The sequence below is a fragment of the Homo sapiens genome, chromosome 19 (assembly GCF_000001405.40).
Source record: "Homo sapiens chromosome 19, GRCh38.p14 Primary Assembly".
In the NCBI taxonomy this organism is placed as follows: Eukaryota; Metazoa; Chordata; class Mammalia; order Primates; family Hominidae; genus Homo; species Homo sapiens.
Window position 1 is genome coordinate 53,027,434 of NC_000019.10, and position 24,512 is coordinate 53,051,945.

The 24,512-nt window shown below is 47.2% G+C and overlaps 1 protein-coding gene and 1 long non-coding RNA gene across 2 annotated transcripts in view, besides 1 other annotated feature; one reads left to right on the plus strand and one right to left on the minus strand.

Annotated features, from left to right (window-relative positions):
* The window catches only part of LOC124904758 (uncharacterized), a 31,324-nt gene extending 20,874 nt beyond the window's left edge, over positions 1-10,450 (minus strand). The window contains exon 1 of the long non-coding RNA XR_007067327.1: positions 10,337-10,450. This is a non-coding gene — a long non-coding RNA (uncharacterized LOC124904758). The remainder of the gene's footprint in view (positions 1-10,336) is intronic.
* Positions 805-1,343: an enhancer, noted in NCBI's record as "NANOG hESC enhancer chr19:53531491-53532029 (GRCh37/hg19 assembly coordinates)". NCBI's record gives its function as "activates a minimal SCP1, AML or CMV promoter by ChIP-STARR-seq in naive H9 embryonic stem cells {active_cell/tissue: H9 hESC(naive)}" and the evidence as "EXISTENCE:reporter gene assay evidence [ECO:0000049][PMID:30033119]".
* Positions 10,451-17,306: 6,856 nt separating the features above from the next.
* On the plus strand, positions 17,307-24,247 carry ERVV-2 (endogenous retrovirus group V member 2, envelope). The gene is made up of 2 exons (NM_001191055.2): positions 17,307-17,525; positions 21,434-24,247. The coding sequence occupies exon 2, from the start codon at positions 21,819-21,821 to the stop codon at positions 23,424-23,426; it is 1,608 nt and encodes a 535-aa protein (NP_001177984.1). The 5' UTR covers positions 17,307-17,525; positions 21,434-21,818; the 3' UTR covers positions 23,427-24,247.
* The last annotated feature ends 265 nt before the right edge of the window (positions 24,248-24,512 follow it).

Here is a 24,512-nt window from a genome sequence, read left to right on the forward strand (position 1 = left end):
AAGGGTTCAAGTAAAAGTTGGAGGCAAGACTTGAAGAGAAAGTAAAAGCAAGCTTTCAGAGTATGACATTCTTTCTTTCTTTCTTTTCTTTTTTTTTTTTTTTTGAGATGGAGTTTTACTCTTGTTGCCCAGGCTGGAGTGCAATGGTGCAATCTCAGCTCACTGCAACCTCCACCTCCCAGGTTCAAGCAATTCTCCCGCCTCAGCCTCCCAATAGCTGTGATTACAGGCATGTGCCACCACGCCTGGCAAATTTTTGTATTTTTAGTAGACACAGGGTTTCACCATGTTGGCCAGTCTGGTTTCAAACTCCTGATCTCAGGTGATCCACCCGCCTTAGCCTCCCAAAGTGCTGAGATTACAGGCGTAAACCACTGTGCCTGGCCACGAGTATGACATTCTCAAAGGGGCTCAGAAGAGGGGAATTACCATAGAGGGAAATATAGTTACCACTAATTTTTGTTTTAAAGATGGTGAAGGGGGCCTGCCCCTCCACACCTGTGGGTATTTCTCGCAAGGTGGAGATGAGAGACTGAGAAAAGAAATAAGACACGGAGCCTTGGGCCCAGGGGACCGGCGCTCAGCATACGAAGGACCCGCACCGGCACTGGTCTCTGAGTTCCCTCAGTATTTATTGATCACTATCTCTACTATCTCAGCAAGGGGGATGTGGCAGGACTATAAGGTAATGGTGGGGAGAGGGTCAGCAGGAAAACATGTGAGCAAAGGACTCTGTGTCATAAATAAGTTTAAGGAAAGGTGCTGTGCCTCAATGTGCATGTAGACCAGATTTATGTTTGACTTTACACAAGCATCTCAGTGCAGTAAAGAGCAGTATTGCCCCCAGCATGTCTCACCTCCAGCCATAAGGCAGTTTTCTCCTATCTCAGCAAATAGAATGTATGATCAGGTTTTACACCGAGACATTCCATTCCCAGGGATGAGCAGGAGACAGATGCTTTCCTCTTATCTCAACTGCAAAGAGGCCGTCCTCTTTCACTAATCCTCCTCAGCACATACCCTTTACGGGTGTTGGGCTGGGGGATGGTCAGGTCTTTCCCTTCCCATGAGGCCATATCTCAGGCTATGTCAGTGGGGGGGAAACCTTGGACAATGCCCAGGCTTTCTCAGGCAGAGGTCCCTGCGGCCTTCCGCAGTGCATTGTGTCCCCGGGTACTCGAGACTGGAGAATGGTGATGACTTTTACCAAGCATACTGCCTGCAAACACATTTTAACAAAGCACATCCTGCACAGCCCTAAATCCATTAAATCTTGAGTCAACACAGCATATGTTTCTGCGAGCACAGGGTTGGAGCTAGGGTTACAGATTAACAGCATCTCAAGGCAGAAGAATTTTTCTTAGAACAGATCAAAATGGAGTTTCTTATGTTTTCCTTTTTCTACATAGACAAAGTAACAGTCTGACCTATCTTTCTTCCCCCAACAAGATGGGCGAGCAGAAGGGAAAAAATGGCTTTATTCTGTATGTGTGCATGTGTGTTTATGTGTCTTTTAAAGGAGAAGACCATCATTGGAGTATGCTGATGAAAATAATTCCCTTGAGCCTGGCGCGGTGGCTCATGCCTGTAATCCCAGCACTTTGGGAGGCCAAGGCAGGTGGATCACGAGGTCAGGAGTTCGAGACCAGGCTGACCAACATGGTGAAACTCCATCTCTACTAAAAATACAAAAATTAGCCGGGCTTGGTGGCACGTGCCTGTAATCTCAGCTACTCAGGAGGCTGGGGCAGGAGAATCGCTTGAACCCGGGAGGTGGAGGTTGCAGTGAGCTGAGATCGTGCCACTGCACTCCAGCCTGGGCAACTGAGCAAGACTCCATCTCAAAAAAAAAAAAAAAATCAGAGCTTAGTCTTCACTTGTGAAATAGATTTGTGAAGGGAGCACCTGCATCCTTGGAGAGCTCTGTGATTGATCTTCTCTGTATGCCAGATCTTACAATGGGAACCAGTCACTCAATTGAAAAACTTAAATGCAGTGGGAATAACTGGATCTTAAGGAGGTAGGGACCAACTAGCGAGACTTATGGCCCCTCAATTTCCAGACTTGAGCCAGTTTACAGACCCAGGATCCCTTGAATGAAAGGGAAGCTGGATTTCCTTAAGAAAAGATCTCACTGCACGACAATTTATACTGTCAATCTTTCTCCCATCCTTTGCCAAGGAGACCGCTGGCCTTTTACCAGGGTAAATATGCATTGAGGAAAGTGGAATGATCAGACCTTTTGGGGACTAGTGGACCCGGCTCTGAGCTAACATTGATTCCAGGGGACCCAAAACATCATTTTGGTCCTCAGTTACAGTAGGGGTTTATGGGAGATCAGATAATTAATGGAGTTTTAGCTCAGGTCTGATTTACAGTGAGTCCAGTGTGTCCCCAGACTCATCCTGTGGTCATTTCCCCGGTGCCAAAATGCATAAATGGAATAGACATACTTAGCAGCAGGCAGAATCCCCGCATTAGCTTGCTGACTAGTAGAGTGAGGGCTATTATGGTGGGAAAGGCCAAACGGAAGCCACTAGAGCTGCCTCCATCTAGAAGAATTGCAAATAAAAAACATCACAGGCCAGGTACAGTGGCTCACACCTATAATCCCATCACTTTGGGAGGTTGAGGCTGGTGGATCACGAGGTCAGGAGTTTAAGACCAGCCTGACCAATATGGTGAAACTCCGTATCTACTAAAAATATAAAAATACAGGCTGGGCGCGGTGGCTCACGCATGTAATCCCAGCACTTTGGGAGGCCAAGGTGGTCAGATCACGAGATCAGGAGTTGGAGACCAGCTCCAACAGTAAAACCCCATCTCTACTAAAAATACAAAAATTAGCTGGGCATGGTGTCATGTGCCTGTGATCCCAGCTGCTCAAAAGGCAGAGGCAGGAGAATCGCTTGAATCTGGGAGGTCAAAGTTGGAGTGAGCTGAGACGGCGCCAATGCATTCCAGCCTCGGCGACAGAGCAAGACTCCGTCTCAAAAAAAAAAAAAAAGACAAAAAAACCCCACAAAAGTTAGCTGGGCGTGGTGGCGCACACCTGTAGTCCCAACTACTTGGGAGGCTGAGGCAGGAGAATCGCTTGAACCCAGGAGGTGGAGGTTGCAGTGAGCTGAGATCGCGCTGCACTCCAGCCTGGGCGTTAAAGCAAGACTCCATCTCAAAAACGAACAAAAACAACAACATCATGTCTCTGGACTTGAAAGATCCAGGGGTGGTGATTCCCACCACATCTCCACTCAGCTCTCTTATTTGGCCTGTGCAGAAGGCAGGTGGATCTTGGAGAATGACAGTGGATTATCATAAGCTCAACCAAGTGGTGCCTCCAATGGCAGCTGCTGTACCAGATGTGGTTTCACTGCTCGAGCACATTACCACATCTCCTGGTAACTGGTATGCAGCCACTGATTTGGCTAACTGCTTTTTTTTCCTTCCATTCCTGTCCATAAGGCCCACTAGAAGGAATCTGCCTTCAGCTGGCAAGACCAGCAATATACCTTCCCTGTCCTGCCTTGGAGGAATACGGGCTCTCCAGCTTTATGTCATAATCTTGCTCACAGAGATCTTGATCAGTTCGCTTTCATAAGATATCACACTGCTCCTTTACATTGATGACGTTATGCTGAGTGGGCCCAGTGAGCAACAAGTAGCAACCACACTGAATTTATTGGTGAGACATTTGTATGCCAGGGGATGAGAAATAAATCTGGGTAAAATTCAGGATTCTTTCGCCTCAGTGAAATTTCTAGGGGTCCGGTGGTGTGGGGCCGGTCAAGATATTTTTCTTTTCTTTTTTTTTTTTTTTAAATGGAGTTTTGCTCTTGTTGCCCAGGCTGGAGTGCAATGACTCGATCTCGGCTCACTGCAACCTCTGCCTCCCAGGTTCAAGCAATTCTCCTGCCTCAGCCTCCTGAGTAGCTGGGATTACAGGCATTCGCCACCATACCCGGCTAACTTTTTGTATTTTTAGTAGAGACGGGGTTTCACCATGTTGGTCAGACTGGCCTTGAACTCCTGACTTCAGGTGATCCGCCCGCCTCGGCCTCCCAAAGTGCTGGGATTACAGGCATGAGCCACTGCGTCCGGCCAAGATCTTCCTTCTAAGGTGAACGATAAGTTGCTGCATTTGGCCCTTCCTACAACAAAGAAAGAGGCATAACGCCTAGTGGGCCTGTTTGGATTTGGAGACAACACATTTCTCATTTGGGTGTGTTACTCCAGCCCATTTATCAAGTGATCCAAAAGGCTGCCAATGTTGAGTGTGGTCCAGAACAGAAGACTCCACAACAGCTCCAAGCTGTTGTGCAAGCTGCTCTGCCACTGGGCCATATGACCCAGCAGATCCAATGGTACTTGAAGTGTCAGTGGCAGATAGGCATGCTGTTTGGAGCCTTTGTCAGGCCCCTAAAGGTGAATCATAGTGGGGCCTCTGGGATTTTGGAGCAAGGGCCTACCATCCTCTGCAGATAACTACTCACCTTTTGAAAGACAGCTCCCAGCCTGTTGCTGGGCCTTGGTAGAAACTGAATATTTGACTATGGGTCACCAAGTTACAATGAGACCTGATCTGCCTATCATGAACTGGGTATTTTCTGATTCATGGAGCCATAAAGCTGTGCATGCCCAGCAGCATTCCATCATCAAATGGAAATGGTATATATGTGATTGGGCTCAAGCAGTTCCTGAAGGCACAAGGAAGTTACATGAGAAAGTGGCTCAAATGGCCAGGCATGGTGGCTCACACCTACAATCCCAGCACTTTGGGAGGCCAAGGTGGGCGGATTGCTTGAGGTCAGGGGTTCGAGACCAGCTTGGTCAACAAGGCAAAACCCCATCTCTACTAAAAATACAAAAATTAGCCGGGTGTGGTGGTGCATGCCTGTAATCCCAGCTACTCAGGAGGCTGAGGCAGGAGAATCGCTTGAACCCGGGAGGTGGAGGTTGCAGTGAACTGAGATTGTGCCACTGCACTCCAGCCTGGGTGACAGAATGAGACTCCATCTCAAAAAAAAAAAAAAAAAAAAAAGAGAAAGTGGCTCAAATGCCTATGGTCTCTACTCCTGCCATCCTGCCTTCTCTCCCTCAGCCTGCATCAACATCCTCATGGGGAGTTCCCTATGATCAGTTAACAGAGCAAAAGAAGACTAGGGCCCAGTTTACAGATGGTTCTGCATGATATGCAGTTACCACCTGAAAGTAGACAGCTGCAGCACCTTCTAGGACATCCCTGAAGAATAGTGGTGAAGGGAAATCTTCCCAGTGGGCAGAACTTTGAGCAGCACAGCTGGTTGTGCACTTCGGTTTGAAGGAGAAATGGCCAGATGTGTGATTCTATACTGACTCATGAGTTGTAGCTAATGGTTTGGCTGGATGGTCAGGGACTTGGAAGAAGCATGATTGGAAAATTGGTGGCAGAAAAATCTGGAGAACTTCCATCCAAATGTTGATGGACCCGAGTGGTCAAAAACAGTGAAGATATTTGTGTCCCACATGAATGTTCACCAAAGGATGACCTCAGCAGAGGAGGATTTTAATAATGAAATGGATAGGATAACTCATTCTGTGGATACCACTCAGCCTCTTTCCCCAGCCACTCCTGTCATCACCCAATGGGCTCATGAACAAAGTGGCCATGGTAGCAGGGATGGAGGTTACACATGGGCTCAGCAATATGGACTTCCATTCACCAAGGCTGACCTGGCTATGGCCACCGCTGAGTGCCCAATTTGCCAGGAGCAGAGACCAACACTGAGCCCTCAATATGGCACCATTCCTTGGGAGTGATCAGCCAGGTACTTGGTGGCAGGTCTTCCATCATGGAAAGGGCAGCAGTTTGTCCTTGCTGGAATAGACACTTAGGCCAGATATGGATTTGCCTTTCCTGTGATTCTCCCACCTCGGTCTCCCAAGTAGTAGCTGAGATTATAGGCGTGCATTACCACGCCCAGCTAATTTTTGTTTTTTCTCTGTTTTTTTGAGACGGATTCTCGCTCTGTCACCCAGGCTGGAGTGCAGTGGTGTGATCTCAGCTCACTGCAAGCTCCACCTCCTGGGATGACACCATTCTCCTGCCTCAGCCTCCCGAGTAGCTGGGACTACAGGTGCCCACCACCACGCCTGGCTAATTTTTTGTATTTTTAGTAGAGATGGGGTTTCACCGTGTTAGCCAGATGGTCTCGATCTCCTGATCTTGTGATCTGCCCGCCTCGGCCTCCCAAAGTGCTGAATTTTTGTATTTTCAGTAGAGATGGGGTTTCACCATGTTGGCAAGGCTGATCTTGAACTCCTGACCCCAGGTGATCCGCCCGCCTCGGCCTTCCAAAGTGCTGGGATTACAGGTGTGAGCCACAGCGCCCAGCTGACTGCTGAACTTTTTTTTTTTTTTTTTTGAAATGGAGTTCACCTTTGTTGCCCAGGTTGGAGTGCAGTGGCACGATCTCGGCTCACCACAACCTCTGCCTCCCAGGTTCAAGTGATTCTCCTGCCTCAGCCTCCCAAGTAGCTGGGATTACAGGCATGCACCACCACACCTGGCTAATTTTGTATTTTTAGTAGAGAAGGGGTTTCTCCATGTTGGTCAGGCTGGTCTCGAACTCCCGACCTCAGGTGATCTGCTCACTTTGGCCTCCCAAAGTGCTGGGAATAATGAGCCACCAAGCCCAGCCCCAAGAAAAAAAGTTTTTTTTTTCAAAGCTGAAGCCTGGAAGAACATATAGGTGACTAAAAATTAGACAAAAAGAAAAAAAAAAAAACAGAAAAAAAGTCAATGTAGTACACCGCACTGACAAAGTGAAGGACAAAAATCACGTGATCAGCTCAATTGATGCATAAAAAGTATTTGAGAAAATCCAATACTGTTCATGATTTTAAAAAACCATTTAAACTAGAAAGAGAAGAAAATACCAGAACATGAGATTTAGCTGTGATTTCTTGGATACAATATGAAAAGCACTGGCAGAAAAGCAAAAACAGATGAAAGGAACTACATCTAAATGAAAAACTTCTGTGCATCAAAAGAGAATGCTCCAGCAAGGATGTAGAAGAGCGAGCTCCTGTTTCCCAACACAAAAGTAAAATCTCAAAACTTGCAGGTTAAAATATCACAATAAAACATTCACTGAAAAACATGTTTTAAATCTCATATCGATGTATAAATACGTTACTATAAATCTTGTGCTGACTCTTGCCATGAACTGAGAATGGTGGTTCTCCACTGAGCACGAGGAAGGAAGCGGAACAGAAAAGACGATGTGTTACATCTTAGTGCCTAAGCTATAAGTTTGGAGTTTTACTATAAAACATTCACCATGTGATGTTCAAAATAAAATAGAATATTTAATAATTATTGGGTTAAAAAAATGGTTCAATTCTCTCCAATGGCAAAGAAGCTGTGATTCACTGTATGAGCACAGTGATAACCATTCTCACCTAAAACACAGTTCACAGGGGTTCCTCCAGGAATACAACATCTCTGTTCTGGTCTGTCTGAAAATAGTTTAATGTATCTCCTGCTGTTTGACATTTATGTTGACTTCATATATTAAAATGTGAGGAATGAAAAAATCCTATCACTGATGTTTCCATCTAAACTTTCCATTCCATTCCCAGTCATTAAGAGTTTGAACTCAGAAACACAGTGACTCACTTGTTCAGTTCCAAATATAATAAAAACGAGGCAGGAAAGATTTCCCCATAGTGTTCTCATTTTAAAGCATTCAACAGGAACTTGTGCATATTAATACCTGACGTCATGGGCAACTTCTTGAATCCTGGTCTACAAAGAGGTGGCATACATCCAAATGTGGCTCCTAAACAATCCCTGCTCCCCAGAAGCACTGAAACCACAAGGCCCACACCCCATCTCCAATCCATGTCTGGGTGTCAGCCCTTCCAAGGACCATGCCCAGCAGAGCCTCTTCAGAAGTTCATGTCACTAGGTCATGCAGGATGGAATCTAAGTGAGATGAGAGGGACTGAGGGAAGGCATGCGTGAGTGAGCAAACATGTCAGGCAGGATGTTTCAAAGATTTGCAATGACATTTTGTTACAGTAGGTAGCTTACCTGGTATGAGAAGGAGAGGGCTCCCCCTCCCCATTCACACACATCAGGAATGAGCCAGGCAACCATCAGGTGATGGTCAGGTGGTTGTTAACTGTCTCTCTAAAATAATAATTAGTCACAGCCGGCACCAGGGAAAGGCATAGATAGAAAACACCTGAAACTGGTGATCAGCCTCTTCCCATGAGATCTCAGGAGTTGGGCGAGTGGACTAAAGCATGTGCATGTGGACAGCCCACCCCAAGGCAAGAACAGCCCACCCCAAGGAAGCAAGACCCCGGAAGTATGCCAACGTATAAAACCCTAAGTCAAAAGGTCAAACTGCACACTTGCCTTTCAAGTCGATCACTTGGCCCTCTTCCAAGTGTACTTTCCTTCCTTTCAGTTCTGCTCTAAAGCTTTTTCTTTTTTTTTGAGTCAAAGTCTCACTTTGTCGCCCAGGCTGGAGTGCAGTGGTGTGATCTCGGCTCACCACAACCTCCACCTCCAGGGTTCAAGTGATTCTCCTGCCTCAGCCTCCCGAGTAGCTGGGACTACAGGCGTGCACCAGTAGGCTCGGCTAATTTTTGTATTTTTAGTAGAGACGGGGTTTCCCCATCTTAGCCAGGCTGGTATTGAGCTCCTGACCTCAGGTGATCCGCCTGCCCCGGCCTCCGAAAGTGCTGAGATTACAGGCATGAGCCACCACACCCAGAAAAAAATTTAAAATTTAATATGTGTTATATTATAAACAGAGAAATCAATATGTCACAATTTAATCAACTCATCCAATCAACACCCCCAACCTTGTTCATTATTCTGTGTTTCCCTCCCTTATTCCGTACATATCTCTCATTCTCATCTTCTCTAACTCTTGGGTTCTTTTCTGTTTCCCCCTGGGTTTCTGCTCCTCATTTTGAGCCTCTCTCCTCTCTTGCTGTTTCTCCGCTTCTTCCTGCTATTCCATCTTTTCCACCTGTTCTGCTCCAGTCTTACAACTTGTTTCACCTCCTGTCCCTCTTTCTCCCCAATCACTGGATTGTCCCCAGTGTCCATACATTTCTGCCTCTGTCTTTCCCCATCTCTGCTTCCCCTGTTAAATTCCCTCTTCCCTGTTTACACCCCCTTGTCCTCAGTCTCTAGCACCCTCAGATCCCTAGGCTTACACTGAGGTCTATGATCCATTCTGAGTTAATTTATGCACAAAACGTGAGGTTTTTGTCTGGATTTTTTTCTTTTTTGCATTTGGATGTCCAGTTGTTCCAGCACCAAAACTCAAACAGAAACACACAATCTGAACAGGCCTATAGCTTTTAATGAATTTGAACCAATAATCCCTGAGCACCCTGCTGTGGTTCTTCTTCTGCTCTCCTTGTCACCAGTTGCCCCTTCTTGCTGTCCCAGCACCACGCTGCTGCCTGCCGTGGCTCCAAATCCCTCCTCCTCTCCCTCACTCTCTGTCTGAGGAGCCTCCCCTCTGCTGCCCCTCTCCCTACCTTGCTGTCCTTCACCTTTCTGGACATGGAGCTTTTCTCTACATTTCTCCAGTTGTTTCCCCATCCTGTTACTTTCTCAGCTTCTTCTTTGACTCTTCCTGTCTCTTCGCGAATCCCCCACGCATCCTCCATTTTGCCATCTGTTTATGGGTTTCCCTCATTCTCTGTCTCAGTTTGTCTACTTCTCTCGCAGTCCCTGTTTCCAGATCCCCTTGGCCCACACATTCACAGGAGGGTTTAGGGTAAGACACCTGCATCCCGCAGGAGCACATTTTTCCAGGGGGTGGAGCTGGGAAGGCAAGAACACCAGGTGTCACAGGACAGGCCCTGGGCACCTCCCTAACGCGGGCTCAGGGGAAGCGGGGACTGCAAACGAGAGGCCTGGGGAGCAGCAGGGCCCAGCAAGAGTTGGAGGGAGGTGGGGGCGAAGGCGCCTTAGGATAGGGGTGGGGTCTGCAGGATCCCGCCAGGCAGAGGACGCAGCCTCCCTGGGACTGGGGCTGCGGGGCCGACGAGGGCGAGGCTGGGAGGCGCCCAGGACGCGACTCCACCTCGCGGGTGAGGACTTGAAAAAGTGCGGGGCAGGATGAGGGGTCAGTACAGGGTTTCGAACGGAAAAATTTAAGGAAAGAACATGTCTACATGACCTGAAGGCAGAAACACCGGCGACGGAACCAGCCTCAGAATGATTTTACCCCAAATCACTGAAACGACCCCAAGAGTCTCATAGCGATGTGTGACTTACTAGCAGTGAGGGGAGCGGTATGAGAATTTTCAGGCGTGTACGAACCTCCAAATCCGGGGTATGGAGGTGAGAGGACTGCGAAGCCCAAGTTTAATCTTAATAATAGACAGAGGGAAATCCACGCGCCGCCATACCAGGTTCACTCCGCGCGATCTGTTTCCGGGTCTGCAGGAAACTAAGCGCAGAGCGGAATCCTGGGCGGGTCCCGCGAGCGACGGCGTCGGGAGGGAAGAAGGAAGGGGGCGGGGCCTCCGCGGAGTGGGGGGGCCTATGCTTTCCTCTTCTGGCTCCCATGGCATCTCTATTTTTCGGGTTTAGGAGGCAACATTTACCAGTGAGGCTGAAGCAACTCAGCAGGATCTCCCTGGGGCAGGGCAAACCGTTGGTGATTGGATCCAGGAAAATTCCTGCTATTGAAAAAGTTTAGCAACTTAATTTAAAAGCCCCAGAATTGTCTGTGAAGGGGATGCAAACTGGAACGTGAAAGGCAAACTCTGCATGGGGGGATGGATCAATCCCATGCTGATGTCCCACAAAACAAAATAGAAATCCTTTTATTTTTTATTTATTTATTTTTTTGAGACTGAGTCTTGCTCTGTCACCCAGGCTGGAGTGCAGTGGTGCGATCTCGGCTCACTGCAAGCTCTGCCTCCTGGGTTCACGCCATTTTCCTGCCTCAGCCTCCCAAGTAGCTGGAACTACAGGCGCCCGCCACCACACCCGGCTAATGTTTTGTATTTTTAGTAGAGATGGGGTTTCACCGTGTTAGACAGGATGGTCTCGATCTCCTGACCTCGTGATCTGCCTGCCTCAGCCTCCCAAAGTGCTGGGATTACAGGCGTGATCCACCGCACCTGGCCCTAGAAATCCTTTTATTTTCTAATCTCCATTTACTCCAGAGAGTCAACCTTGTACTTGTTTCCAAAGACTGACTTTGTTTTTTTTTTTTTTTTGGAAACGTAGTTTCAAATCTGTCAGCCTTGGCTTCCCAAAGTGCTGGGATTACAGGCGTGAGCCACTGGGCCTGGCCTCCAGAGACTTTCATAGACGCAACACCTGGGGTGTTAAGCATGGAAAGCTAGGTCTGTCATCACCCTGGATTCATCTTGTCTCTGCCCAGAAGAGACAGTGCACTGAAAACAGGAGAGTTTTGCAGCAAAGAGTTTAATTATCGCAGGGCTAGCCAAGTGGAACAAGTTGGGAGAGGGGGAAGTTAGTTCTCAAATCTGTCGCCCGAAAAGTTGGGAGACTAGGGTTTTGAGGATAATTCGGAGAGCAAGGGGCTAGGGAATTGGTGTGGCTCATTAGTTGTGGAGAAAATCATAAGAGGGTTCAAAACAGGCCTCCTGGAGCTGAGTCAGTTTCTGGGTGACGGTCACAGGACCGGGCAGTGCCAGTTCTCTGGTACCAGTGAAGAAGACGTCCAGGTGGCCTGAATGACTCTGCCCAATTGTAAAAGTCTGAAAAATACCTCAAAGACCAATCTTAGGTTTTCACAATAGTAGTGTTATCTACAGGAGCAACTGAGAAATTACAAATCACTGGTTATTGTTTCTGTCTACATTTTAGCAGAATTCAGTTACCTCCCATAATCCTAACATTTAGCCTTTCATTAGTCTTAGAAAGTTGGTTTCAGTCACCTGAGAGGGTCACTTTGGGAGGGACTAGTATCATCCTTTCTTCAAAGTCATAACTATAAACTGAATTCCACCCATAGTTAGCTGGGCCAATGCCCAGTAATGAGCAAACACAGCTTGTGAGGTTAGAAGCAACAATTAGGTTAGATTTCTCTCACTATCATGATTTTTGCAAAGGTGGTTTCAGGTTCAGTGATGTTAGATCACCGATTTTTGCTTTAAATAATAAGCAATGGCCGGGTGCAGTGGCTCATGCCTGTAATCCCAGCACTTTGGGAGGCTGAGGCAGGTGGGTCACCTGAAGTCAGGAGTTCAAGACCAGCCTGGCCAACATGGCAAAACCCTGTCTCTACTAAAAATACAAAAAGTAGCCGGGTGTGGTGGTGCATGCCTGTAATCTCAGCTACTTGGGAGGCTGAGGCAGAAGAATCACTTGAACCTGGGAGGCGGAGGTTGCAGTGAGCCAAGGTTGTGACATTGTACTCCAGCCTTGGCGACAAGATCGAAACTTCCTTGAAGAAAAACAAAACAAAACAAAAACCTAAAACATCTGATGGGAGAAAGAACGCACAAATAATAACACAAAACCCCCAAACAATATGATTACTGAGTGCTCTAATGGTAAGGAGAAATTTAAACCAGCTGGTTATTAATCTTAACTTTAGCCAAGACAGAACCCCAAATTCACCTACATACCTAGGAATGGGTATACCATCCTAGGAGGAGGAAAAAAACTGAAATTCACCTTCCCAATTGGAAGCGAGCTTAAACTTTAGAAAGGAGTTACCTGCCTTCTACTGTCATGGAAGCAGGAAAACGTGCCTTCCTTATTGGAAGCAAGTAAAACTCCAGAAAAAGATGTACAGCAAAATAAAGTTAAGATCTCAACCAAATTTTGATAGATCAGGGATTCTCTAGAGAGGGAGCTCCCAGGCCTCAGCCAATTGTCCTACTGGTTTGAGCCATAAGGATAGCTCAATCTGGTACCAAGCACCAATAGGAGATCGTCAAAGGTCAGGGCCCACTCTACTCAGAGTTACTTCCTTGGGTCACCAATTTGTCAACGAAGAGTACCTGAGACAGGTCTCAATCAATTTAGAAAGTTTATATTGCCAAGGTTAACAACATGCCTGTGACACAGCCTCAGGAAATCCTGATGACATGTGCCCAAGGTAGTCTAAGTACAGTTTGGTTTTACACATTTTAGGGAGACATGAGACATTAATCAATATATGAAAGATGTGGGCCAGGCGCAGTGGCTCATGCCTGTGATCCCAACAATTTGGAGGCCAAGGTGGGCGGATCACAACGTCAGGAGTTGGAGACCAGCCTGGCCAACATGGTGAAAGCCTGTCTGTACTAAAAATACAAAAATTAGCCTGGTGTGGTGGCACGTGTCTGTAATCTCAGCTACTCGGGAGGCTGAGGCAGGAGAATTGCTTGAACCTGAGAGGTGGAGGTTGCAGTGAGCTGAGATAGGGCCATTGCACTCCAGCCTGGGCGACAGAGTGAGACTCTGTCTCAAATTTAAAAAATAAAATAAAATAGAAATATATGAAAGATGTCCATCGACTTGGTCTGGAAAGTCACACAACTCAATCAGGGAGGAAGCTTCTAGGTCATAGGTAGATAACAGACAAACTGTTGCATTCTTTTGGAGTTTCAGATTAGGCTTTCACTGAATTCGTGATTTACAGGAATAGTCACTTATGCCTTAGTCTGGCTTAGTGAAACAATAGGACAAAGGAAAAAATCAGATACGCATTTGTCTCATGTGAGCAGAGGGATGACACTGAGTTCTGTCTGTCCTTTGTCCACAAGGAATTTCCTTGTAGGTAAATTTTGAGGAAGGTATGTAGCTTTTAAAAATCTTTGTAGCTATCTTATTTAGGAATAAGGAATAAAATGGGAGGCATATTTGCCTGACAGAGTTCCCAGCTTGACTTTTCCCTTGGCTAAGTGATTTTGGGGTCTGAGATTTATTTTCCTATTACACCTCCTTGTAATATCATTATAAGAGAAATGCAAATTAATATGGATTTTTTTCAAATAAGTTAAAGTAGGAACTACTTTGTGTGTGTGTGTGTATGTGTGTGTGACAGAATCTCATTCTGTCACCCAGACTGGAGTGCAATGGCATGATCATTGCTCATTGCAGCCTCAGGTGATCCTCCCACCTCAGCCTCCTGGTAGCTGAGACTACAGGCATGTACCATCATGCCTGGCTAATTTTTGTATTGCTTGTAAAGACAGGATTTTGCCATGTTGCCCAGGCCAGTCGCAAACTCCTGGTCTCAAGTGATCCTCCCACCTCAGCCTGCCAAAATGCCAGGATTACAGGCATGAACCACTTAGCCCATCCAGGAAGTACTTTCATCTCTTGAGTATATATTATAGCCTGTGTCACACACAAAAAAGAGAATGTACATATTCTAACACAGATGGAACAATGAAAATGTTTACTACTGTCAAAGAACAAATTTGGACATTGGTTAGAAGAGATTCTATTCAAAAAGTATATTGTGGTAGGGAGAATGCTCCAACCACAAGATCTGCAAATGTTTGAGTCACAAGAAATGGGCTTTTCTTTTCTCTAAAGAAGGAAGCAAGGCTAGAAAGCACCAGGTACAGGGCAGGGGATGAGCATCTGCTGTGACCTATTCAGGGAATTTTTTTTTTTTTTTTTTTTTTGAGACAGAATCTCATTCTGTTGCCCAGGCTGGAGTGCAGTGGTGCAATCTCGGCTCACTGCAAGCTCCGCCTCCTGGGTTCACGCCATCCTCCTGCCTCAGCCTCCCGAGTAGCTGGGACTACAGGCGCATGCCACCACGCCCAGCTAATTTTTTGTATTTGTAGTAGAGACAGGGTTTCACCGTGTTAGCCAGGATGGTTTCGATCTCCTGACCTCGTGATCTGCCCGCCTCAGCCTCCCAAAGTGCTGGGATTACAGGCGTGAGCCACCACGCCCGGCCCAAACAAAGATTTTAAAAAATAATAAATACATGTGTTCTACTTGAAAAACAGAACTAAAAGTAATAAGAACAATAGCAAACTTTGCTCCTTACCTCAGTTTTTGAATGACATTGAAGGGTCCTCAATGTGCATTTCGGCTGTGTGGTATTCATTTCGATCACATGCAAGACACTGATCAGTTCTTGTTGGAAGATATGGCTCTACATTTCTAACTTCAAGGGTCTCTGTAACTGTCGAATTAAGCAGAAAGCTAGGGTCATATTAAGAAAAATAGTGTTCCCTTATACATTTTTCTGCTGATCATGGGAAAACATATTCTCACAGCTTCATGAATTATTTGGTCACAATTTGACAATAAAAACACTAATTTATATGTCAGATCCATGTCACATTCTCATATTAATCTAAATTTTCTTTTTTTTTTTTTTGAGACAGAGTCTTGCTGCATTGCCCAGGCTGGAGTGCAGTGGCGCGATCTCGGCTCACTGCAAGCTCCGCCTCCCAGGTTCACGCCATTCTCCTGCCTCAGCCTCCCGAGTAGCTGGGACTACAGGCGCCTGCCACCTCGCCCGGCTAATTTTTTGTATATTTAGTAGAGACAGGGTTTCACCGTGTTAGCCAGGATGGTCTCGATCTCCTGACCTCGTGATCCACCCACATTGGCCTCCCAAAGTGCTGGGATTACAGGCATGCGCCCGACCTCAATCTAAATTTTCTTGACATCCTTTTTGGTACCAGCTGAGCCCTGACAAAGGAAGGTAATTCAGAGACATTTTCTCTTGTGATCAGAGAAATAACCTAATGAGAATAAACTTATGTTGATTGGGTTTTTTTGTTTTTTGTTTGTTTTTGAGACAGGGTCTCACTCTGTCCCCTAGGCTGGAGTGCAGTGGCATGATCACAGCTCACTGTACCCTCCACCTCCTGGGCTCAAGCCATCCTCCCAGCTCAGCCTCCTCAATAGCTGGGACTAGAGGGTCACGACACTATGCCCAGCTAATTTTTTTGTATTTTTTGTAGACATAGGGTTTTGTCACGTTGCCCAGGCTGGTCCCAAACTTCTGAACTCAAGTGATCCGCCTGTGTCAGCCTCCCAGTGTGTTGGGATTACAGGTGTGCACCACCATGCCCAGCTGAAAATAAAATTAAGGTGAAGAAAGTTGTTCTCTGTGATCTCAGGGGAAAACCTTCAGGTAAATTTGCATTCAGATTGAATAGAAGAAACATACAAATGTGGATGAACTAGATACTACTTTAAAAGTCTTTCTAGCGCCAGGCTCAGTGGCTCATGCCTGTAATCCCATCACTTTAGGAGGCTGAGGCAGGCAGATCATGAGGTCAGGAGATCAAGGCCATCCTGGCCAAAGTGGTGAAACCCCATCTCTACTAAAAATACAAAAACTAGCTGGGCGTGGTGGCATGTGGCTATAATCCCAGCTACTCGGGAGGGTGAGGCAGGAGAATCGCTTGAACCAGGGAGCTGGAGGTTGCAGTGAGCCGAGATCACGCCACTGCACTCCAGCCTGGGTGACAGAGTGAGACACCTTTACAAAAAATAAATAAATAAAGTATTTCTGTCCACAAACCAGCTTGGAGTAGGTAGGTAGCCAGGCATGAGCAGTTAAAGGAGCCCCTGGGAAAGGAATCTTAAGAAACACAGCCCACTGACAATCCCCTTTTGACAGCAAAAGCAGGACAGTGGCTACATTGCCTACACCTGTCCTTGTGGCTGGACTTGTCTGGCCCAGGAAGGGAGTTATCTGGCCCTAGCCAGAAATAACCCAGCTAGGGGATTTTCCCTATTAAGGAGCGTGCACACTCCTCTAATAATTCATCCTAGAATGGCCTTTTGCTCATTATAATACTAAGAAACACATCCCCTTTTTTCAAATATGATTTTAGAAAAAAATAAATAAGGGCTGGGTGCGGTGGCTCATGCCTGTAATCCCAGCACTTTGGGAGGCCGAGGCAGGTGGATCACGAGGTCAGGAGATCCAGACCATCCTGGCTAACACGGTGAAATCCCGTCTCTACTAAAAATACAAAAAAAAAATTAGCTGGGCGTGGTGGCAGGCACCTGTGGTCCCAGCTACTCAGGAGGCTGAGGCAGGAGAATGGCGTGAACCCGGGAGGCGGAGCTTGCAGTGAGCCGAGATAGCGCCACCGCACTCCAGCCTGGGCGACAGAGTGAGACTCCGTCTCAAAAAAAAAAAAAAAAAAGCCACACCCCTGGGTGGAGATTTGAGATGCTAAGGAGATATGTGATGTGTGCATGGACAGTCACAGCACATTCCTGCCCAAATGACTTCCCAGAACATGCTTACTAATAATGGCTGTGCACGGCCCCTTCATGAATAATCATGTCAGGTTCTCATTAAAAGGGTCAGGCCAGCATAAGTAAGGACAGACTCCTTCTTTTCAGGAGCCCACTCGGTTCTGTCGTTCAGGGTGTCGCTTCTTTCTGAGCTCCTGTCTCTTTAAATGAAGGGCATTTACCCTTTAACTCTTTCTGCGCATCTCTTGACTGAATCCAAGAAGACCAAGAACCAGAGGACTTCCACACCCCTCTGGGTAACATCTGGTGTTTTCACCTGGTTACCTGGTTACCTCGCCTGGTTATCCAGGTAAGTACCAAAAAGCTGGTGCCAGATTCTCTGGTTGACGACCTCTGCTTCTTTCTGCACTGAAGAACCTCCTGCCCTAATGCAGATCTGGCAGCTTTAAGGGGAGGGGTTTTTCCTCTCAGGCTCTGTTCACTAACGACTGCCCAGTACCATTTCCCTTCAGCCACTGTCACTCTGCTCCCTCTGGCTGATTTCTCAGCTCACCCTGAGGGGTGATAAGCAGAGGAGGGAGGATTTAAACTCCACAGTGAGTAGATCTGAGACACATGGTGACCCTTCTTGCAGGAGGCTTGTGAAGGTGGCAGGGAATACGCCTGGCTGTGCAGTGACTGGGGAGCTTCATATTTTTTTTTGTGGGGGGGAGGACAGAGTCTCACTCTGTCGCCCAGGCTGGAGCGCAGTGGTGTGATCTCGGCTCACTGCAACCTCCACCTCCCGGGTTCAAGCGATTCTTCTGCCTCAGCCTCCCGAGTAGCAGGGACTACAGGCGTGTGCCACCATGCCCGGCTAATTTTTGTATTTTTAGTAGAGACAGAGTTTCACCATATTGGCCAGGCTGGTCTCGAACTCCTGACCTCGTGATCCGCCCACCTCGGCCTCCCAAACTGCTGGGATTACGGGCGTGAGCCACTGCGACCGGCGCATATCTTTTAATTAAAACTACAATCCGGTGTTAAGTCAGCTCTTATACTTGCCATTCATGGCCGTTCACTCCCCTGAACACCATATGCCCCCACCGTTGATTAATCTCCCAGGTCACTCTGCTTACTCTTTGCTGTCCCTCTCCTCGCCGCAGGGATTTCATGAATTCTTCCTGCGGGTGCAAGCCTCTTGCAGGGCCTGTTTATCCAGGACCTGCTGCGTTTGCTTCACTCAGGCGCCAGAGTCCTTTGAGGGCCTATGCTGATGTTTATACTTTTTTCCTCAGAAATGAGACTCAGCTTTGTCCTTTCCCTTGCCTCCTGTTTCACTGGAGGGACCGGCACTGGGAGGATGCCTGCTTAAAGAAATCCCTCATTTTGGCCGGGCACGGTGGCTCATGCCTGTAATCTCAGCACTCTGAGAGGTTGAGGGGGGTGGATCACCTGAGGGCAGGAGTTCAAGACCAGCCTGGCCAACATGGTGAAACCCCATCTCTACTAAATATACAAAAATTAGCCGGGCGTGGTGGCACACGCTTGTAATCCCAGCTACTTGGGAGGCTGAGGCAGGAGAATCGCTTGAACCCGGGAGCTGGCCATTGCAGTGGGCCGAGATCGCACCATTGCACTCCAGCCTGGGCAACAAGAGCGAAACTCTGTCTGAAAAAAAAAAAGAAAGAAAGAAATCCCTCACTTATTATTGGGTCCTTCTCCGCCTGCCTACTCTTCAAGAATGCCTCATTCTGTGACTCCTCAATGGAACTGCCTGGCTCTTCCAGAGGGTCACCTGTGACCACTTCCTTACTCCCTAGTTTCTCTGTACAACCAGGGTTTCCAATGGGCCACAGGAGACTGCTTTCTCCACCTCATTAGGCCATTGTAACAGACCCGTGAAGTACTCAGGTCCTTTTTGCTTTTTGTTGAATAAGCTGATAGAAAATGCTTCTCACATTCCCCTTGCTGTTTATGTGATCATATAATGGACTAAAAAACCAGAATCAACAGCCCAGTTCACTAACTCTGAGCCCCAGGGGGTCTTCTATGCTTTTCAAGCATTTTTTTCTGTATAAACCCCAAGGAACCTTTTAAGAGTGGGGGAAGATATCACATCTTTTCCGTTCCTGTAATCATTAGTATTAGCCCAATATCATTATGTATTAAGAAGACCTAGGCTGGGCGCATTGGCTCACGTTTGTAATCCCAGCACTTTCGGAGGCCAAGGCGGGCGTGTCACCCGAGGTTGTGAGTTCGAGACCAGCCTGATCAACATGGAGAAACCCCGTATCGGCTGGGCACGGTGGCTGATGCCTATAATCCCAGCACTTTGGGAGGCTGAGGCGGGCAGATCACGAGGTCGGGAGTTTGAGACCAGCCTGGCCAATATGGTGGAACCCTGTCTCTACTAAAAAATTAGCCGGGCCTGGTGGCATGGATCTGTTATCCCAGCTATTCAGGCGGCTGAGGCAGAAGAATCTCTTGAACCCTGGACACAGAGGTTGCAGTGAGCTGAGATCGTGCCACTGCACTCCAGCCTGGGTGACAAAGTGAGACTCCATGTCAAAAAAAAAAAGAAACCCCGTCTCTACTAAAAATACAAAAATAGCTGGGCATGGTGGTGGACACCAGTAATCCCAGCTACTCAGGAGGCTGAGGCAGAAGAATCGCTTGAACCCAGGAGGCGGAGGTTACCGTGAGCCAAGATAGCGCCACTGCACTCCAGCCTGGGCAACAAGAGAGAAACTGTCTCAAAAAAAAGGACTTTAGAAGTCCCTTCTCTGCAGAATTCAGCAGGGGCACAACTACTGGGCTTCCTGCAGAACCAAGGTCACTGGGAACATGAGAGAAGAGAAGAGAACTACTCTCATGGCAGACATTCTTCCACCCGTCCTTACCCAACACGGAAGAGTGGAAGGCATCACTGCTGGGCATCAATCCCAGGAAATCTAAGAAATCCTTCTGAGCAAAACAATAGGAAGAAATGCAAACAGCAGAGCACACAGTAGGGCTAATTCCAGAGCTCCAAGGTGAAGGACACTTCACCCTTGCAGGGAGAGGCATGAGACACCTCATTTAGGTCAAGGATTGGAATGCCTGACCTTCATGAGTCACCAAATAGGTAAAGGGACACTTCCTCTATCCTGCATTCTCTCTTGTCTTGTCTTTCAGATGGGTAATCAGATCTTTATATCCCAGGATTCCCCTCCTGGATCCCCTTGGAATCTGGGAAAAGGTTGATCCCCAGATTGTAAAACAAGAGACTGATTTTCCTTTGCAATATAGTTTGGTCAAAGGTGGGGAGCTTAAATGTTAATACCATATTCCAGCTTGACCTTTACTGCCAACACCAACACAAATGGTCAGAAGTCCCTTATGTGAAAATCTTCATGATCTCGTGGGAAAACCCTGATTTTTGTAAAGGCTGCAAAACGGGCTCAAAAGAAAAAGAAAAGGAAAGGAAACAGCCAAGGGCGGTGGCTCACGCCTGTAATCCTAGCACTTTGGGAGGCCAAGGTGGGCTGATCACCTGTCAGGTAACCAGGTGGCCAGGTGACCAGGCTGGTCAGGAGTTTGAGACCAGCCTGGCCAACATGGTGAAACCCCATCTCTACTAAAAATACAAAAAAATTAGCCGGGCATGGTGGCGGTCACCTGTAATCTCAGCTACTCGAGAGGCTGAGGCAGGAGAATCACTTGAACCCCAGGAGGCGGAGGTTGCAGTGAGCTGAGATCGCACCATTGCACTCCAGCCTGGGAGACAAGAGCAATACTACATCTCAAAAAAACAAACAAAAAAAAGGCCAGCCACAGTGGCTCATGCCTGTAATCCCAGTACTTTGAGAGGCTGAAGCAGGTAGATCATCTGAGGTCAGGAGTTCAAGACCAGCCTGACCAATGTGGAGAAACCTTGTCTACTAAAAATACAAAATTAGCTGGGCATGCTGGTACATGCCTGTAATCCCAGCTACTCGGGAGGCTTAGGCAGGTGAATCACTTGAACCTGGGAGGCGGAGGTTGCGGTGAGCCGAGATCCCGCCATTGCACTCCAGCCTGGGCGACAAGAGCAAAATTCCATCTCAAAAAAAAAAAAAAAAAAAAAAATACAAGCCATTCAGGAGTTTGGACAAAAGGTACTGCCTGCTCTTGACCCTTTCAGGAATCAACACCCATTATACCAACCAGGGTCAAAAAACCTGGAGAGATGGGTCATCTGGGTCTCAACTCCCTTATGGAAAGACCCCTTTACTGTCTTACTTTCCACCCCAACAGCTATCAACATTTCTGGCATCTCCAGTTGGATACATCAGTCTCAAGTGAAACTGTGGGAAGGTCCCGAAGAACCACAGAAGAACAACAGAATTCAGCACCTGAGCATTCTTGTGAGCCACTGGAGAACTTAAAATTCCACTTCAAGTGAAAAGATAAGTAAAGCCTTCTCTCTGTTCACCCAAAACTAAAGTCAATCTCAGTACGGGGAATCTTGGTTGCGGTGGCATTGGTTCTTCTCCTTATTTTGACCCAACTGGCATGCCACCTGAAGTCCCGATAACAGCCTGATTTCTCACTAAACACTCCATCGAACCACTTCATTATTTGTCTCTCCTATTTTCAGCACTTTCCTTTTGCTTTCACAAAGCTTAAGGGAGAATCAGCTATGACAGAGAAATTCCTTTTCCTTTATCTTTCCCTCCTTCCCATGCCCCTACTCTCACAGGCACAGTGGAATGAAAATTCCCTTGTCAGTTTTTCCAAAATAATTGCTTCGGGAAACCATCTAAGCAACTGTTGGATCTGCCACAACTTCATCACCAGGTCCTCATCTTACCAATATATTTTGGTAAGAAATTTTTCTTTAAACCTAACATTTGGTTCAGGAATCCCTGAAGGCCAACATAAATCTGTTCCGCTCCAGGTTTCGCTTGCTAACTCAGCGCACCAAGTCCCCTGCCTGGATCTCACTCCACCTTTCAATCAAAGCTCTAAAACTTCTTTCTATTTCTACAACTGCTCTTCTCTAAACCAAACCTGTTGTCCATGCCCTGAAGGACACTGTGACAGGAAGAACACCTCTGAGGAGGGATTCCCCAGTCCCACCATCCATCCCATGAGCTTCTCCCCAGCAGGCTGCCACCCTAACTTGACTCACTGGTGTCCAGCTAAACAAATGAACGATTATCGAGACAAGTCACCCCAAAACCGCTGTGCAGCTTGGGAAGGAAAAGAGCTAATCACATGGAGGGTTCTATATTCGCTTCCCAAGGCACACACTGTCCCCACATGGCCAAAATCTACTGTTCCCCTGGGAGGGCCTCTATCCCCTGCATGCAATCAAACTATTCCAGCAGGGTGGAAATCGCAGTTACACAAGTGGTTCGACAGCCACATCCCCCGGTGGGCCTGTACCCCTCCTGGCTATGTATTTTTATGTGGGCCACAAAAAAATAAACTGCCCTTTGATGGAAGTCCTAAGATAACCTATTCAACCCCCCCTGTGGCAAACCTCTACACTTGCATTAATAACATCCAACATACGGGAGAATGTGCTGTGGGACTTTTGGGACCACGGGGGATAGGTGTGACCATTTATAACACCACCCAACCCAGACAGAAAAGAGCTCTGGGTCTAATACTGGCAGGGATGGGTGCGGCCATAGGAATGATCGCCCCATGGGGAGGGTTCACTTATCATGATGTCACCCTCAGAAATCTCTCCAGACAAATAGACAACATAGCTAAGAGTACCAGAGATAGCATCTCTAAACTCAAGGCCTCCATAGATTCTCTAGCAAATGTAGTCATGGACAACAGATTGGCCTTAGATTACCTCTTAGCAGAGCAGGGTGGAGTCTGTGCAGTGATCAATAAATCCTGTTGCGTTTATGTCAATAACAGTGGGGCGATAGAGGAGGATATAAAAAAGATCTATGATGAGGCTACGTGGCTCCATGACTTTGGAAAAGGAGGTGCTTCAGCAAGGGCCATCTGGGAGGCTGTGAAGTCTGCCCTCCCCTCCCTCAACTGGTTTGTCCCTTTACTGGGACCAGCAACAGTTATACTCTTACTTTTCCTCTTTGGCCCTTGTTTCTTTAATTTACTGATTAAGTGTGTCTCTTCTAGGATAAAGCAATTTCACATGAAGTCCCCCCAAATGGAAAGATATCAGCTATCTGTCATTGGAGGCCCCAGCACCTATAAGCACATCTCCCCCTTGGATGCCAGTGGGCAAAGATTCCGGGAAACTATGGAGGAATTTTCTCTCTGAGACAGAGCAAGAGAGGGAGACCCTGATGACTTCTTCGCCCCATGTCAGCAGGAAGTAGTTACAGAAGACCCACGACGTCCTTACAACCAGAGCTTTTCAGGGTCTCCATCTCTTGAGGAGGGAAATATTAGGGTAGGCAGGTAGGCAGGCATGAGCAGGCAAGAGAGCCCTTGGGAAAGGAATCTTTAGAAACGCAGCCCACTGATAGCTTCCTTGGTGATGCTGCCCACAGACAGTCAGCACTTCTCTAATAACCCATCCTAGAACAGCCTTTTGCTTTTTTTTTTTTTTTTTTTTTTTTTTTTGAGACAAGTTCTTGCTCTGTCTCCCAGGCTGGAGTACAATGGTGCGATCTCGGCTCACTGCACCCTCCACCTCCCAGGTTCAATTGATTCTCCTGTTTCAGCCTCCTCAGTAGCTGGGACTACAGGCATGTGCCGCCATGCCCGGCTAATTTTGTATTTTTAGTAGAGATGGGGTTTCACCATGTTGGTCAGGCTAGTCTCAAACTCCTGACTTCAGGTGATTCGCTCGCCTCGGCCTCCTAAAGTGCTGGGATTATAGACGTGAGCCACTGCGCCTGGCTACTCAGAACGCTTCTGAATGGCACATTCATGAAAAATCATGTAAGGTTCTCATAAAAACATCTGCCCAGCCATTAGTAGGAGTAGACACGTCCTTTTGATCAGCCCGCCCTGTTCTGTCTTTCTGGGTGTACTGTTTTGATGACTTTAAAAGCTCCCATAAAAACTAAGGCACTAGCAGCTGGCTCATTCTTCTGATGTCCTCTCTTTTTAAATAAAGCTTACTTAACCCTTTAACTCTTTCTGTGTGTCTCCTGACTGAATTCCTTCCTTGAGGAAGACCAAGAACTGAAGGATTCCCCACCCCTCGTGGTAACCAAAGGTCTATGAAGGATTTAGTGCATCTAAACTAGTAAATACAGGCTGGGCGTGGTGGCTCACACCTGTAATCCCAGCACCTTGGGAGGCTAAGGCAGGTGGATCACCTGAGGTCAGGAGTTCGAGACCAGCCTGGCCAAAATGGTGAAACCCCGTCTCTATTAAAAATACATATATTAGCCAA